This window comes from Homo sapiens, chromosome 3 (genome assembly GCF_000001405.40).
Source record: "Homo sapiens chromosome 3, GRCh38.p14 Primary Assembly".
NCBI classification, from domain to species: domain Eukaryota; kingdom Metazoa; phylum Chordata; class Mammalia; order Primates; family Hominidae; genus Homo; species Homo sapiens.
In genome coordinates, this window is record NC_000003.12 from 62,281,859 (window position 1) to 62,299,316 (window position 17,458).

The 17,458-nt window shown below is 35.3% G+C and overlaps 1 protein-coding gene and 1 long non-coding RNA gene across 10 annotated transcripts in view; one reads left to right on the plus strand and one right to left on the minus strand.

Moving 5' to 3' along the window:
• PTPRG (protein tyrosine phosphatase receptor type G) overlaps positions 1-15,751 on the plus strand; it is a 736,039-nt gene extending 720,288 nt beyond the window's left edge. For all 7 annotated transcript variants that reach the window (XM_017006961.2, XM_017006963.2, NM_002841.4 and 4 more), the window contains 3 exons: positions 869-1,011; positions 10,563-10,698; positions 11,303-15,751. In XM_017006961.2, coding sequence (XP_016862450.1) covers positions 869-1,011; positions 10,563-10,698; positions 11,303-11,449 — 426 coding nt within the window. In that variant the 3' untranslated portion in view covers positions 11,450-15,751. The remainder of the gene's footprint in view (positions 1-868; positions 1,012-10,562; positions 10,699-11,302) is intronic.
• The window catches only part of PTPRG-AS1 (PTPRG antisense RNA 1), a 57,129-nt gene that overhangs the window by 20,040 nt on the left and 19,631 nt on the right, over positions 1-17,458 (minus strand). The window contains exons 3-4 of one of the 3 annotated variants that reach the window (NR_038281.1): positions 12,842-12,920; positions 10,756-10,859 (exon numbers count right to left, since the gene is read on the minus strand). The exons of 1 other annotated variant lie outside the window; for it this stretch is intronic. This is a non-coding gene — a long non-coding RNA (PTPRG antisense RNA 1). The remainder of the gene's footprint in view (positions 1-10,755; positions 10,860-12,841; positions 12,921-17,458) is intronic. One more of the 3 variants, NR_038282.1, reaches the window with a different exon arrangement.

Below are 17,458 nucleotides of genomic sequence, written 5' to 3' on the forward strand. Positions count from 1 at the left end.
CCTTCAAATATTTGCTTTTTCCAGCTGGCTAGATGAAATGTAACAGTTCCTCTGATTCAGCATGCATACAAATAGGTCTGTTGACCTAATTATAAAAACAATATACTAGAACTCAATATTTTCTTTGCCATCAGAAATGTAAGCTTTGCAATGTGTTGCACAGATGATAATACTAAGTTTTTTTAAGTAAATATTTTGCTGCCTTCTTGTGGGATGAGTAAGCATGGGGGGGCTCTTATATTAGTAATTTAAAGGATGAGCCCCTTCCTTGTTTTCCTTTAATTTTATAAATAAGAAAATAGAGTAGGATATAAGGTCTTTAATAATTTATTGTCACTTGAAATTTTTGACTAAGCCAAATGAATTGTTTCACTAGCATGACCTACTTGGTTGTTTGTTTTGAGACAAGGTCTCACTCACAGTGGCATCATCAAAGCTCAGTGTAACCCCAAACTCCTGGGCTCAAGCGATCCTTTCACATCAGCCTCCCGAATAGCAAAGACTATAGGCATGTACCATATGACTAGTTAATTTTTTTTTTTTTTTAATTTTTTTAGAGACAGATCTCCCTGTGTTGCCCAGGTGGGTCTTGAACTCCTGGCCTCAAGCAATCCTCCCACCTTGGCCTCCCAAAGTACTGAATTACAGGCATGAACCACTATGCCTAGCCATGCTTTTTTTAAAAAACAAAAAAACAAAAAAAAAAAACCTTCCTGGTATTTTTCTTCTTTCCAGCTGTGGTTTGGTTAACACAACATTGTTGAGAGTTACCTATAACACATGGCTTTCTCAGGAGCAAGTTCTAGTCATTAGATTGTAGATATGTGAAATAAAGGAAGGGATTTGACCCATGTTGTATTGGTTACAGGATGACTATGTCTTAGAAGTTCGGCACTTTCAGTGTCCCAAATGGCCTAACCCAGATGCCCCCATAAGTAGTACCTTTGAACTTATCAACGTCATCAAGGAAGAGGCCTTAACAAGGGATGGTCCCACCATTGTTCATGATGAGTATGTATCTGTTTCTTAATTTTAAAATGTAGACCGTTTTTTTGTTTAATTTCTTGTTGAAAGCAGTAGAAAAGGAAGCCAGAATTTTAAAACCTATCAACAACCTCAGCTTGTGACAACTCCATGTTATTTCTACTGTGGACATGTACAAAGTGTTGTTGCTCTGTTTACATTTTAATATGTCAAACTCTTCCAAGACTCCAGGTTCTTCTAGAGTATATGTTCTAGAAAGGGGAAAGTATTATATCTTAGCCTACAGAGGTAGATCTGCATGCATTTAGAGGTGTTATGTGTTAGTAACAAATGAGTAAATTAATAACTGTTTACCTTAATTAAATACTTTTTAAAAATCCTTACACTGAATTTCAAACACTTGTTAGGGAAATAACCTTTAAAAATATGACTTAGTTGATGAGTAGAGATAAAACTACTAGTATTAATGATAATATTTAAAGTTCATGATGTGTTTTAAAGTCTTCAGTACTGTCTTTTGGGATTTAAAGAATATGAATCTCAAAGAGAAAAATAACTTGCACCTGGTCTCAAAGCTTCTAAGTGTCACAATGGTATCCCAGCCCAGCACCTTTCCACTTTAATAAGAAGGAAAGGGTCATAGATATATCTTATTGTATATAGATATTTGGAGCCAAACTTCATGGCCTGTAAGTCAGTTGTATAATTGAATCGTTTCAAATCACAAACCTTTAGCCAATATGGAATCAATTATACATTCCCATTTTTATTTCAGTTCCAAGGTAGCTCTTGGTCAGCAGCATTCATTATGTTCATTAAATTACCAACTAGCTACCCAAGTAGCATAAAGTATTAATAAATTTGAAAGTGAAGCTTATTGTGAAGGCTTTTTTTCCTGGCACTAATGCTGTATCATGATGTACACAAGAGCTCAGCACCTTCACCTCAAATCATAGTACTCTCCTACTTGAAGTAATGTGTACTAGCTGCTTCCAAAAAATTTTACAGTCTTTCAAAATGTTGGCCTGACTCTTGATTAGTAAGGTGAAAAATTAAGATTTGAAAAGCATTACAGTTGAAACATTAATTAAATAGCATAAGATCAATGGAAATGTGACAACCATCAACAGTGTTTAAATAGCACAGACAGCCTCAAAATAACTGGGGAGTTGCTACTGAACTAAAACTTTGTGGTATACAGTTACAGCATAAAGTTAGGGCATTTTCTAGAATTCCTGGGTTTTACCAGCTCTTATCATCTCTTGTCATCAAATTCTAACGTTACTGCCCAGTTATATGACTGATTTTGCTGTTACGGTAGTACTCCGAGGTGTTTTGTCCTGAAGTCAGTAATGCACCTAATCTTATATTTTAGGGTAAGGAAAGAGGAAAAGAAAAATAACCACCAGTTAAATACTAAACAGAAGTGTTTGATTCACTTATCTTCATTCAACTTTTCAGTATATTTGTCTTATTTAGTGATTTTTATGTCACATGCTGAAAATATATCCCCTCCAGAATTAATCAGATGTATACAGGCCTCATTCTTAGGCCTGTATACAAAAAGAGCAAATTAATCCTAAACCAGTAGATCTGCAAATATCATATAGGTGAGATGCCTTAAAAGCCACCAGTAGAAATGTATTAATTCATTTATCTACTATCTGTAGGGGATAAGTTAATTCCATTGAAATTATTGAAGAGAAACTTTAAAATTTTTGAACAGTTGCTAGCTCTAGTGAGATACTCTGAACACCAGTTCCTTTTCAGTTTCCATCTTACCTACTTTCTGTACCTCTAAACATCACTTCCTGATGGGCTACAAACACGTCACATTCAGCATAGCTAAAACCAAACTCATCTTCACTGCCTGCCCCTAATCAACTTAACTGTACAGACCAGAAACATATCAGAGTTATTTTTGAGTCTCCCTCACCTCCAAGTCTGATTGGCCACCAAGTCTTCTTGGTGCCATCGATTCTTTCAGTAGACTTTTGAAAATCTTTTACAATCTAGTGTAAAGTTTACATTTCCAGTTGTCATCCCAATCTGCCACTGAAGTACTTCCTGCATGCCACCTTGCCCCTGCAAATCCTCTTTCCTCTGAGCACCCTTTCATTCAATACACAGTTCAAAAGTCACTCTCTGAGACTCTAATTCATCCCAGAGGTGCTAAGCAAAATCATTAACATGACAACCATACCAGATAAATGTCATTCCTGCTTATCATGTCACACCATAATTATTTGTATACATGACTGTCACTCTCACATTGCTGAGGCCAGCAATGGTAATTTATTCATCCCAGTCTCCACCGGGGGAAACCCAATGCCTGGGACAGCGTGGGTACTAGACAAGTATTTGCACGAACGGGTATGTGTTTTAAATTGTGGTAACTTACAAACTATTAAGTATATGTACCCCTATAACAAATTGTCCCCAGAAAGCCTTGCTTTTTGTCTCATTTATTGTTCAAAGTCATTTTGGCTGCTTAAATTCTTCTTTTCAAAGTGTTTTTAAGCTCTGTCAAAAGCAGGAGTCAACAGGCTTGGAGAGAAGGCCTGCACGCATTTGATCTGTGAGGCAGAGAGTTGAACTTTTAGTGTGCAAATGTTGTGACATCTATTTGGTCTTCATAGAGATCTTTTTAACACCTACTTTTGGGGGTGGCAGGTGGTTGTTGGGGGGGGGGGGTCTCAGGTGTGTCCCAGGTGGATGACATTTCTAGATAAGTGAGCTAAGAATAAAATTCCTAACCAAAAAGTAAACTGCTTCTATTTGAGGACAGGCACAGCTTAAAGACAAACTGCTTCATTCTCAGCATTCTATTGTCAACTGTTCAAGATTATTCTGCTCAGAGGCTGATCTACATCATTATTGTCAAATTTTAAAAACAGCTGGGTTCCCATAGATATTTAGAACATAGGCATGGTTCTCATATAGTCTTATAAGACAGCTGTAGATCAGACCTCACCCAAATTACTCTACTCACTCACAGACTGAAGAAGAGTTCCCTTTGCAAATACTTAATTACTCACTCTGGAGATACATGTATCACCCTACTGGATAGCATAATAATATAAAAATACTATCTGCCTTATTCATACCCATTCTGTCATGAGTGGACAATTAAAAAGAGTTTTCCAGAAGTACATGACATGTGATAACATCACTTTTAGGGCTAATCGTATTTTAACATTTTCTCAGTTTTAATTTCTAATACAGTAAATATTGACATATACAGCCCAAATCCCCTGGAGGTCCTCAATAATTTTTTATTTTAATTTGGCCCTGAGATCAAAGAGTCTAAAGACTGCTGAGATATTCTTTAAGTGACACAAGGCATATGGACTGTTTTCAATAGCAAAGGCTGCAAAGACACCCACAAATCATAACTAATTCCAGTATTTTCGCTTTTATTGAGAGCCTTATGGAAGGCTTTCATGTTGTCTTCTTCCCTAAGATTGATACTTATTCCAGCTTCAATTTTTTTGTTTTCCTTTCTGCCCTACTGATTTCAAAAGGAAGCTGCATTTCTTCACAGTGTCAGGGTTATAACTCTGGATAGCAATCTTGGTTATGATTTTAAAAACAACGTATTAAAAGCTACAATAATAAGTAAATATATGAAATAGTGAAAATGGTTAAATGCTCACAGGTATTATCCTGACTATACAAGGAATCACAATGTGTTTTAAAATGAATATAGACAGAGCACTTAAAAAAAAACATTACTGTACTTCAGGAGCTTAAAGTACTTTCATTTCTTTTGTAAAATCTTTGAAGTAAATAAAGGCAGGGAAAGATGAAAAAAATAGGGTTTTTTTCTTAACATCACTAGTTAAATAAGCATTACTTTTAATGGAGCCCTTAGAGGAAGTGGCAAACAAAATATCAAAGCCAGTGAATTTATATACTACTGTCATTTTACCTAGGTTACAGATTACTTATACCACTTTTGCACCAAGTCCCTGTAGTTTTAAATGCAAATCCATGAAACTCGATGAGCATTCTTTAATCCCACTTAGTTCCTAAACTTTTGAAAGAGAATGGCCCTTTTTGTCTTTGCTCTGTCATTATGTTTGGTATGCAGAAGATATTTAAAAGTATCTGTGCATTTGATTGATTTGACTTGCGAGTTTCTTGTCATGTTTAAGCCATATTGTATAAATACTTTTAATTTTACTGCTTATTTAACCGTGGCTAAATACAGGAAAGGCAACCCATGGAAAGGTGAGAATAATCTCACATGGAGTGCATGCATACTCCGTAAAAACATACATGTTACCTGACTTTTCTATATGGCTGGCCACAGATAGCTTTGAAAGAGCTAAGAAAAAAGGGGAGATTCTTAAGTTTAACCATTTCACTAGAACAGATTAAACAAATGTTAAATTCTTCCCCTCCTAAACAAAATCAGTACAAATGACTTTTTTTTAATACCATGCTAAAATGAGGTCAACTCAGTACAATTTAGAATCTGAGGGAAGACAACATGCTGAACAAGAACCAAAAACCACAATAAATCAGAGTTAATAGAGCTATCATAATAGGGTATTAAAATATATCCTCAGAGATCTAAAGGAAGATTTTATGAAATGAAGAACATTTATTATGAAATAGGAACAAATTCGGCCTAAGAATGAGAAAATACATTAATTCATGAAACTAAAAACTTAAAAGATAGGATACTAGTGGAGTGTAGAACTGAAATGAAACTAGAATGTGGAAGTCACATACAGAAGTTCTAACATATGTCTAAAAAGTTATCCATGGGGCAATAAAATACAGGTTAAAGAGGAAGAAATAACAGCTGAGGTTTTCTAAAAACAGAATAAAGTATTCAGTTCTTAAACTGAGCGACCAGGATACATTTGATCAGTAGCATTCAGAGAGATTTGAATACCACAGTTAACAAGCGTGATCTAATAGTGATATAGAGAAGTTCGCACCCAAGAGAGACTGCACAGAGAGACCTAGAGTCTCTTCAAACACAAATGGTTTATTTATATACATAGGCCATAAATGGAATTTCAATACATTCCCCCAAAACAGATACCATACAAGGCTACATTCATTGATTACAACCCACTTACATTAGAAACCACCAGTGAAATAACATCCCAAATCCTTATAACTAGAAACAACTAGAAACTGAAATCCTTACATCTAGGATTGCTTATAAATAATTCATGCATCAAAGATGTAACCAAAATAAGTATTTCACAGTGTCTAAAACTAAATGATGATGAAGGCACTGCATTTCAAAACCTGGTGAAATGGAGCCAAACTGTACTTAAAAAAAAAAAAAAAAACAGCCTGTGTAAACTCTACATATTAGAAAGGTTAAAAATAAACAAACCAAGCATTCAGCTCAAGCCAGAAAAAGCACCAGAGAAATCAACAAAAAGTACAAGGAATTAAAAGCAAATAGAAGGCGATAGTAAAATTTAAGCAATAAATAGTTTAGTAAGAGATACAGTTTTGGAAATATGATGAAGGAAAAAACCTACCGTATATCTGTAGCTACATTAAAAACATTCAAGAATTGGCCGGGCACGGTGACTCACACCTATAATCCCAGCACTTTGGGAGGCCAAGGCGGGCAGATCACCAGGTCAGGAGTTCAAGACCAGCCTGGCCAACATGGCGAAACCCCGTCTCTACTAAAAATACAAAAATTAGCTGGACATGGTGGCAGGCGCCAGTAATCCCAGCTACTCGGGAGGCTGAGGCAGGAGAATCGTTTGAACCTGGGAGGCAGAGGTTGCAGTGAACCAAGATTGCACCATTGCACTCCAGCCTGGGCGACAGGGTGATACTCCGTCACAAAAAAAAAAAAAAAAATTCGAAAGTTGTTAATTTGCTTAGGTGTGATAGTGTGTTTTCTTTAAATGCTTATCTTTTAGAGTTTGATACTAAATTATGACTAAAACACCTGAGATTTGCTTCAATATATATTGGGGACGAAACAGAAATGAAATGAGAATGGCCATGAGCTGTTGATCATTATAACTGAATGATGACTACATGAATGCTACTGTACTATTGGGCTTTGGTGTCTGTTTAACATTTTCTATAATAAAAAGCTAAAAATAATACATATTTTAAAAGAAAGAAAATAAGCATTTAAGACTTTATAACTCTATACTAATAAATGTTTAAGCCTATAAATAAGCATAGTAAAATAACATTTAGTGAACACATGGTATGTGGTGTGTGCCAATCTCTGTTCTGAGCCATTTACAAGTATCAGCTCAATTTTAAACTCTAGTCTCACTATGCGATCTTGGCCAGTTACTTCACCTGAATGTGCCTTATTTATTCAACCTCAGAATGTGCCTTATTTATTCAACCTGAAATGGAGATAATACTGGTACCCATACCATAGGGTTACTGTGAGGACTAAGTCAGTACATGTAAATACCTATAAGAGAACATGGCACATGAAGTACAACACACGTTAGTGATCACTAAGAACTGAATAAAAGAATGAGTTTTCCACCTGTTAGGGCCCACAAGTCCTGGCCAAGGCTACATATGAACAGTAACACACAGAAGATTTAATGCAATGTTGATTTAAACAAACAAGGCTTAGCACCAGAATGGAAATGTATAGGCCAAGTCTTGCTTATTTGAACACTGATGCAAAAATGACAATAAAAAGCTGTCTAATAAAACCCAGTATATTAAAAGAATTACACATCATGAAAAACTTATCCTAGTAATGTAGAGCTGGTGTTAAGCTTTTGATATATTATCAAAAGTTTATCAGTGAATTCAGGACATTTTAAGAGACATTTCAAAAAAAAATCGATATTGAAAAGCGTACAATAAAACAACACCCATTCATGATCCCCCCCCCCCAAAAAAAACACTTAGAGTAAAAATAGAAAGCATCCTCTTTACCTTTATAATTGTTATTTACCAGATGTATATTAGCAAACATTTAAATTTAATATTAAAAACTTAGAAGCTTGAACATTTAAGATACATGATACTTGCTTTCAGTTCTAGCACGTAAGCCTATCTAGGTGCTAGCCAACACAGTAAAAGCAGAAGATAGAAGAAGCGTAAAAGATAAAAAGAGGGAAAGTTCGCATTATTGGCAGATAAAGATGTGGTCAACTACCTAGAGAAGCCACAAACTATTAAAACTTAAGCAGGGTTCTTCTGTTTGACCGGATACAATTTCACCATGTGAAAATCAGTAACCTTCCCATGCATGAAGTGAAACCAAACAGAAAATGTTATCACAAAAGGAGGCCATTAATAGGGGTAATAAACTCTAAAGTACCTAAAAATTTACCAAAAATGGAATTGGCAAAGACTATAAAGAAAACAATAAAACCTAGTTAAAAGCTATAAAAGGCCTGAATAAATGGAGAAAAGACATTGTGTTCATGAAGAGAAAAACTCAAGATTGAAAAGATGGTAATTTCCTCAGATCCATCTATATATTCAGTGCAACCTAATCAAAATCCCAACAAAAATGTTTGTTTGTGTTCCTTAACAATCTGGTTTCAAAATTACTATGAAACACGATGGAGTCGGGTGGAAGGTCAGAGTTATTTGGACATCAGTGTACCAGTAAAAAATGAAAATTATATGTTTGAATCACTAAAAACAATACGAAGTAAATGTAGAGACAGCCAAGACTATTACAGAAACTTGCTTTATCAGATATCAAGACTTATTAAGGAATTGGGATACACGTGGGGAGGTACAAAAAATAGACAAACAGAATAAAAGGTCAAAACAGAGTTCAGAAATAGGCTTGCATATATAAGAATGTAGTACATGATAAAAAGGAAGCTGATGTCAGTGAGAAAAGATCACACTGTAAAATAAGAAGTGCTGGGACAACTGGTTATCCAATGGAAAAATAAAATAACTGTAATCAGACCCCTTCCTTACATCAAAGCAAGAATAAGACTCAGATGAATTAGACAATTAAACGTAAAAAAGTAAAATTAGAACATGTAGGAGAGTATCTTTAAAATACAAGGTTAGAGAAAGCATTCTCAAACAAGATTCCAAAAAAAGCCAAAAATAAAAGATGTATCAACTTGATTACATCTAAACTGTACTTCCGTATAACAAAATGACCACAAACAATGTTAAGAGAAACAGATCGGGGGGCAAAAAAACTCACAAGTACTACAGACACTATAAAAATAACTCCTATATAAATCATTTTGGAAGAGGCAAACTTAGTAGAAAAGTGTTAATTAGGCGATTTCAGAAGAGGAAATATAGATGGTCAGTATTCATAAAAAGACATTCAGCCTCCCTGGTAATCAAGGAAATGTAAATTAAAACCCTAGTAAGATACAGTCTTCCACTCATCAGATTGGCAAAAGTGTTTCAAGTTTAAAATGATGAGGAGAAGCAAGTGTTCTCGTGCTGGGAATAGTATGAACAGGTAACAGCCACTTGGGAAAGAAATATGGCAGTGTCTTTAAAACTAAAAACAGGCATACCTGTGACCCTAGCCCTTCTACTCAGTACCTATGCTAAAGTGCACAAATTCAAACAAGCTAAATGTCCATCTAGAAGGTAAACCTGGTATGCATGTAGCAGATGAAATAATGAGTTGAACTGAAATGTAGTGATACACCTAAATCTGGAAGGCTGTATCTACACGTGTAATAATTTTTACCTCTGGAGAGGTTACCTCTAAAGTTGGGGGGTGGCTAAGGGGGACTCTGGTCTTATTTGTATTAAAGATATAAAACATGTAATATTTTAATTTTATGTAACAATTCAGAAATGACATTTAAGTTTTTCAAAAAACAATGGGCACAGGGCATCTGAACTCCAGTCTCATTTCTGCCACCAGCCAGCAACATCATCTTGAACAATTCATTTAATCCATCTGTTTTCTCATCACTAATGTGGAAACTGTGTGCCATCACAGATTCTTGTGAAAAGTGGAGTTGCCAACCTGGCCTGATGGAAATTTACTACCTTTCTAAGACTTTTTTGTGAGGCAAAGAGAACCACATTTATCTTTCCAAGGATTTCATAGAAAGTGCTCTCATTAGGAAAGTTCCACTTCAGTGCCAAAATAATTATTTCATATGAAATTAATTTTGGAAATTGTCTGTTTTGAGCCATATAATTCCATTTTTAAATTTTTCATATTCTGTAAGTTCAATTTAACTGTTTGGAATTGTTAAAAAAAAATTCAGAGCCCTTCATCACTGGCTGCTTGTCCAATAACGTCTAGTTAAGAGGTTCTCTTTATTGTTTTTTCTATTGTACCACCCAACTCATCACCAACACCAAATCATCTTTAGCTCTCCTAAGTCTACTTCTGAACCTCTCATTTCCTATTAGATATCAAGCTAAACGTCTCATGAACCAATTTGGGATACTCCACTTTCATAAACAAATCTCACCTTTATGCTAGCTTCCAAATCCCTCCCCCACCAGCATTTCATTCAGTCGTGTCTTTAGAGTAAATGTCAAAACAGTCTACTTAGTTTCTATGAAAATACATGACAGTAATTTCATTTCAATATATTTGGTCCCTTTGTACATCTGAAATCGTATCTTTTTTTTTTCTCCCCCAGGTATGGAGCAGTTTCAGCAGGAATGTTATGTGCCCTTACCACCCTGTCCCAGCAACTGGAGAATGAAAATGCTGTGGATGTTTTCCAGGTTGCAAAAATGATCAATCTTATGAGGCCTGGAGTATTCACAGACATTGTAAGTAGTTTGCTTATGTGTAAAACCTGTACTACATCAGTTGAAACTCAGACTCACAGTTTAGAGCAGTAGTTCTCAATTGGGGGTGATTTTGCCCCCCAGGGGACATTTGGCCATGTCTGGAGACTTTTTTGCTTGTCACAACTGCAGATGGATGGCATCTAGAGGATACAAGCCAGAGATGCTGCTAAGCAAACTACACAGCACAAGACAGCCCTCAACACCATAGAATTATGTGGCCCAAAATGTCAGTAGTGCTCAGGTTGAGAAGCCCTGCTTTAGAGGATAGTATTCTCTGGTTATCTTCATTAACCAGATATTAACCAGATATTGGTTATCTTCATTAACCAATAATGATTGTTCATTAACAATCAGCACTGAGAATTGGTTCCAAGCTAACAGAGATCAAAAGGACATGAAGAAGGTATAGGTCTTGACTATAATAAATTCAAATGATTTTTTTTTTAGTTTTTTTAGATAACATTTATGCTATTGCTGTTTCTCTAGTGTGTTTTTCACAATTACCATTTTAATTGGTATTTCCACCTTATGTGAAATCACTAAACTGTTCTTTGGCTCAAACTGTCTTCCTCTTGTTTTTCAGGAACAATACCAGTTCATCTATAAAGCAATGCTTAGCTTGGTCAGCACTAAAGAAAATGGAAATGGTCCCATGACAGTAGACAAAAATGGTGCTGTTCTTATTGCAGATGAATCAGACCCTGCTGAGAGCATGGAGTCCCTAGTGTGACTGGAATCCTGAAAGGGCACTTAATTTGTAAACTTCTGAAGACTGAGAACTTTTTTGAGGCCTTTTTTGCCAGACTCTAGGTTATACAATAACCCAGTTACTTTTTTACACTGATAAAAGTTTTGATATTTATTTTTTGCCATTTTATGTCTTAATGGTATCCTACTGAGCATTTGCACCTCTGTTCATTTCACACAGTGAAACGCAATTTTACCTAGTTTGCACTATATGATCAGTGTTACTGCCTATAATCTTATACAACAGCAAACCCTGATGTGACATTCCATGACGACATACATGCTACTTTTTTTTAGTTCAATACAGTGAAGGTCTTTGTTATGACAGTGAATATTGCTTTTATTATTATTATTGCTGAAGTGGTTGCATTCTACTAGCAGGCAATGCTGTACTTTTCTTCAGTCCTCCTCTCCTTTTTATTTTAGGCACTGTTCAATACTGTATGCCTTCTGTATTTTAATGGAGTGGATAGCATTGTTTTCTTTTACAGACTAGCAGGCTACTGGGACCTAAAAAGGTCTGTTAATGTCATGGCCTTGAAACAGTTCCATTTATGCTGGTTAAGAGATCCCTTAAGAAGTTAGAAGGCTTAAGAACTGCTTCATGTGAACATCCCTTATTAGTTACAAAGTTATATTCACAGTTTTTTAAAAATGTGTCAAAATAAAGGATAACTCTGTATTACAGCTTTCACAGTAGCTATGTGGACAATGTGTTATTTCCATTTTGACTCTCTAAAATAGCTACATCCTAAAATCAGGGCTATCTTTAACAATAGCAAGATAGCAATATTATATACAACTCAGTTATGAGACCCTTTAGTTATTCTCCATTAATGCTTCTTAGTTTGTAATACCATACCTCACAGTAGGTAGAAGAATGAAAACTTCTGCAGGTGTGTAATTTTGAAACTAGTCCTCTAAAAATTCCCTATTACTCCTATAGCAATCTAATAAAAACTACCTACATAGTTACTGTTTTCTTTCCTTCTTTGCCAAATGTTTTATAATAAATCTCTTAATTACATACATTTTTCTACTTAAGATTAAATTGGAAATACTGTCTTAGCAAAAGTCTTGGGACTATCTAAACTCCCACACATAGATAAATCTGATTTGGAGAGAGAAATTTAAAATATTTAATTAAAGGTGATACCCACATTTTCAAGTTTTTAAAAGAGGGAGATGGCTTTGTATGCTTTTGTGTAGTTTAGAACAGATACACATTAGTAAAAGATACCAATAATCATTAGAGCTCAAGGAAGTTATTAGGTGCAGCCTCTGGAGCCATACTCACGCTGCAGTGCATAATGGGAAAATTAGGAGCATTAATAAGAAATTTCAGTAGTGTTTGTAAGGAAAATAAGCTACTTACTGAGATCTGTTTCTTCTATTGCATGTTTGCTTTTGAGGGACAGCTTCTGTCAAAAGTGAAATCATCACCAGAACTGGGCCTGTTAGGAAGAATAGGGTTTTATTTACTTTTTATGTCAATTAACTTCAACAAAAAGGCCACGCTGGCTGCTGTCATGCCATCTGGGTATGCATTAAACATTAATGATGATCAGCACTGAGGTTCTATTTATCTTGATTTGGCTTTCATAAAGTTTGTCAGAATGGTGCTGGAGGACCAGAAGTGCTAAGGAGAAAGAAGCTATGGGCCAAGTTAAAGAATTTGAATGCAAAGGCCAGGTCAATGGAGTTTTCATAAACTACATAATTTACCAGGGTTTATCTCATCTTCTCAATACATAGATTTAACAACATGGAATACTCTGCTTTTCAAGAGCTGCGTAAGCTAGTCCTGAGATAAGATGTTCAAGAGAGCATGCTAAGTTGCATGTGCTAGATGAGAGACACCTTTACAGCCCCTCCGCTCCAACCAGAGGTGACACAGGAAGCTCTGTAAAGTTCAAGTAAAGCTTGAACACAGGAACACTACAACTGCCAGATGCTGAGGAGAATCAGGAAAGCAATGAGCTAGACTCTTTTTTTAGTCAATTAAGTGGGTTGTTTTAGATGTATAGAGTATTGATATGAGTTAACACTTTTTAGTAGATGGCAAAGTGGGCTTGATGTTCAAAAGTAATGTTCGAGTTAGGGTTCATGGTCCCTTTCTCAGTAATTTTTTCTTAATAAAAGTAAACACTGGTTCAAAGACAAATAGCAAGTATTCCCTCCTGTGCTATTTATAGAGGGCTCAATTCGTAGAAAGGCATACCCTCCAATGCAATTCTGTGGCTGTCCCTTACAGTGGTTTCAGAATCACGAAAAAACAGCTAGTAAATAGGATAGAAACAATAAAAGAAAGAGTTTAGAAGTTCCCTGTGAGCAATCTGTGTGTCTTCAGCGAGCTTGAACCAAAGTCTTCATATCCTGACCCACTGAATTATAAGCAATTGCTACTTGCCCATCTTGCCAAAGTAGTCCAAACACACTTCAATGAGGACAGTTATATTTAGCAGGTCCTCACCCCTGCAAGAGACAGCATATCCTCACTATTATTATTCATGTGTTATTGGCAAAAACATAGCTTGCATCTTTCCAGAGGCAGAGTTTCAAAGACAGGGTTTTCTTTGAGACATAAGCACATTGCTTAAGTACATAACAAGGTTATTAACACTTGCACTCAGGGGAAAGGAAATAGCTATTGCAAATTAATGTGTGCAACTTAATAAAATAAGCTGTTTGTGTATATGAATTTAGCTCTAGGTAAGCAAAATGCACACATCATATAAAAATAAATTGCAATGATCAGACCAAGTGGCTGTGCTGGACATCAAAGAAAAGACATGCTGTTGCCATCAGGAGAACTCTTTCTTATATGCGATAGCCAAGATATCTTCTTTAATATGAAAAAAGTTAATTTCTGAATTTCAAAAAGAGTAAGATTAGCTAATTGGTCTTCCTAATTTTTATGCCTTTAGAGTTTTTAGTCTATTCAAGTAGAAGAGTCCAGCGAGGCCAAAGAAGGGTTACGGTGTTCAAGTTCTGGTTGTTGGAGTTTTTAGCCCAGAGTGACATACTGAAATCAGTAAATAATTATTTTATAATGACACAGCACAACTGCCTTGTTATGAATTTTTCTTAAATGCATATATACTGTATTTAAAATTAAAATATAGATACCAATTTACCAAAGATACATATTACTAATTCTAAGCAAAACTAAAAAAAAAACCCAACTCATCATAATTTAAGAATCAAAATGTAGTTTGTCTTAAGAATTTAGTGGTTATACTGGAAATGCATTTTCAACTCCTATGTTCTAAAGTTTATGTTCAAATGGTGCCAGTGAATTTTTATATGAAGGGAAAATGCCTGCTTTTTTTTTTTTTTTAACAGATGTAATTTCACTTAACCCTTTGCGCTTTCCCTTAGTTGTCATTTAACATACAATACTGGCTTTACTTATCTCTAGAAAGAAGAAGGCATGCTACAAATAGGAAGGAATTGTAATAATGATATTTGGCCTCTACTTTGTCTTAGCTGTTAAACTGTTTTTAGTATTTTTGTTAAATATTTGCAAAGGGAAGCATTTTCTACAGAGGATAATTAATTTCAAGAAAAATATCTTGAGTTTTAAGAAATAAACATCTCCAGAAAAGGAGAAAGTCGATTTTATAAAATGTCGCAACTCTCCAACATTTGGGGTAGTGACTCCTTTTTTGTTAGGACATTTGAAACTAGCAAGCAGCCATTGTTTCTAAAGAATTCTGGCTTCACATTGACTCATGTTTCTTTCACTCCATTTTGAAATAGCTAAAAATCATTAAAACTGTAAATATTTTGTTGCTTGGGTAAGCATCTTCTGGGAACTTTGTATCTATGGTATATAATCATAGAATTTTATATTTTCATATAAAGCTAATTTTTTTCTAGTTTCAACTCCGTCATAGTTTTTTTTCCTTTTTGTGGTGGATATGTGAATTCAACTTTCTGTGTATTGAAGTAGCAAAAACCATCTTTACATTCCAAAAGAATCCAACATGTGTTATTTCTTTGAGGCAGTGATTGTGAAAGTTGGGTTTTCTTTTTAATTCCATTGACCATTTGTGCAATAGGAATTAGACATAATTAGTCACTGAAAACATTCGTCACATTGACCCATTTGGAAAAAGTGTGCTTTTTTTTTTTTTTTAAATTTGTTCAGGGGGAGGGGTTTTGTAACCTGAAATTTTTCCCTTTTTCTTCTGTTTAAACTATATCAAATCATTCTATTATAGTGTTATTTAATATGTAAATTGTATTGCTATACATAAAATAAAGTATGGTTTTTGATGTATTCAGTAGTGTTGAGCATTTCTATGAAAATGTCTATATCCAATAAAATAGGTTACTAGTCTCCCTTAACAGATCACATTAATACCCACCAACCCTCTGGTCTAAGTTTTCATGGTAGTAAAATGAACATTGGTAGTCGTCTTTACACAGGCAGCAAACCAAAAAGAATGGTCTTTGCTGGGTTGATTTATCAACGTTCTTTCTCCTTTAAAGAGTAAACAATGACAGTTTTACCTGCTCATCTAAGGAATCAAACTTTATTCAGTTTATGACTCTGCTGCTAAGTTGTGAACAGAATTACTATTTTCTCTAGTGTATCAACTAGGTTTGTAACAACTCTCTTAATATTTACGAGGTAGGATGAAGGATATATCCTGGCAAGAGTTCTGGAGAATCTATATGTGTAAGATCAGTACAATTGCTTCTACTTAACAAGAACTTTTGACATTTCCAAACAGGTATACAAGTCCCAAACTTGGCAGCTTTGGCCTACCATTCTGTCTTAACTTTTAGTGGCTCCATATCAGGTGCTCAACTCTTCCTACCCAAGGCCCCAGTTTTTCTTCCCATATAGATAAGAGCTGAAACTTCACTCTCGCTGTCATGAGGAATTTAAGAAACAATGTGTGAAGAGTATGTGGAAGAACAACTCTAGCACAAAAGAATGAAATCTCTTAGGATATAATCCTAGTCTTCCTCAAATTATATCCATGGGGAAACTACTGCCCTATATCATAGGATACACCAGAGGTCCACGAATTGATGGCCCGTAGATTGCATTCAGTCCACAGATATATTGTATTTGGCTCATAATTTTAAAGTTTGTATTAGTTACCAATATTTAAAACATGAAAACTTTTGCAATAAGATTCAGGTTTCAAACTCCTTTAAAAAATTTGGGTGTTGGTGTAACAGGCTCACACTCTCCCATGACAGTAACAAGATGGAAATGAACAGCAGTTTTTGCATTTAGGGGAAACATATGCTCTCCAGTTCACCAAAGTCTACATTGCTCCCTATCACATTATGTCTAGCCATCATCAGTCATTTAATTAACCTGCCTGGATCCTGTGAGCAGTTGCCTCTGAGACATCCAATATGAATTCTGACACCATCTTCCATCTCAGGCTAGTAAACCAACAACCAAGAGTGGCAGTAGAAGTATCTCTAAGTCTTTCATCATGAAAATCCTAGACAACCAGCACACAGCCCAGTGGGTTCCCACATTACTAACTACCTCTAAGTCCACCCAAGATGATTCCATTAAGCAGCAGTTATGACTATTCAAAATCATTAAAAAAAATCAATTTTCTACTCCATGACTTTTACTTGCCCAGGACATAACCTTAGACGAGGAAGCTTCATTTATGCTACTACAAGTGGCAGAAATAAACTAGAGTAAAAAAGCTACTGGTCCAAAACTCTATTTTTAAACAGCTAATTGTGGAACTTTGAGATTTAGAAACAAATCACTACTGACCATGCCTGGATTCAGAGACAGGATTGAAGACAATGGCTTTAAATTCCTGCCTATGTTAGTAAAATCGCATAAAGGCACTAGAAGATGGGAACCAGAAGTTGGTTACTAGCAAGTTAAAATTGGCTTTTGTGATTACGAAGTTAAGTTTGGCAGAAAAGGATAATTACACCAGCAGTTTATCTGAACATAACAATTATGTTCCTCAAAAGTTGAAAAGAAGAAATTAAC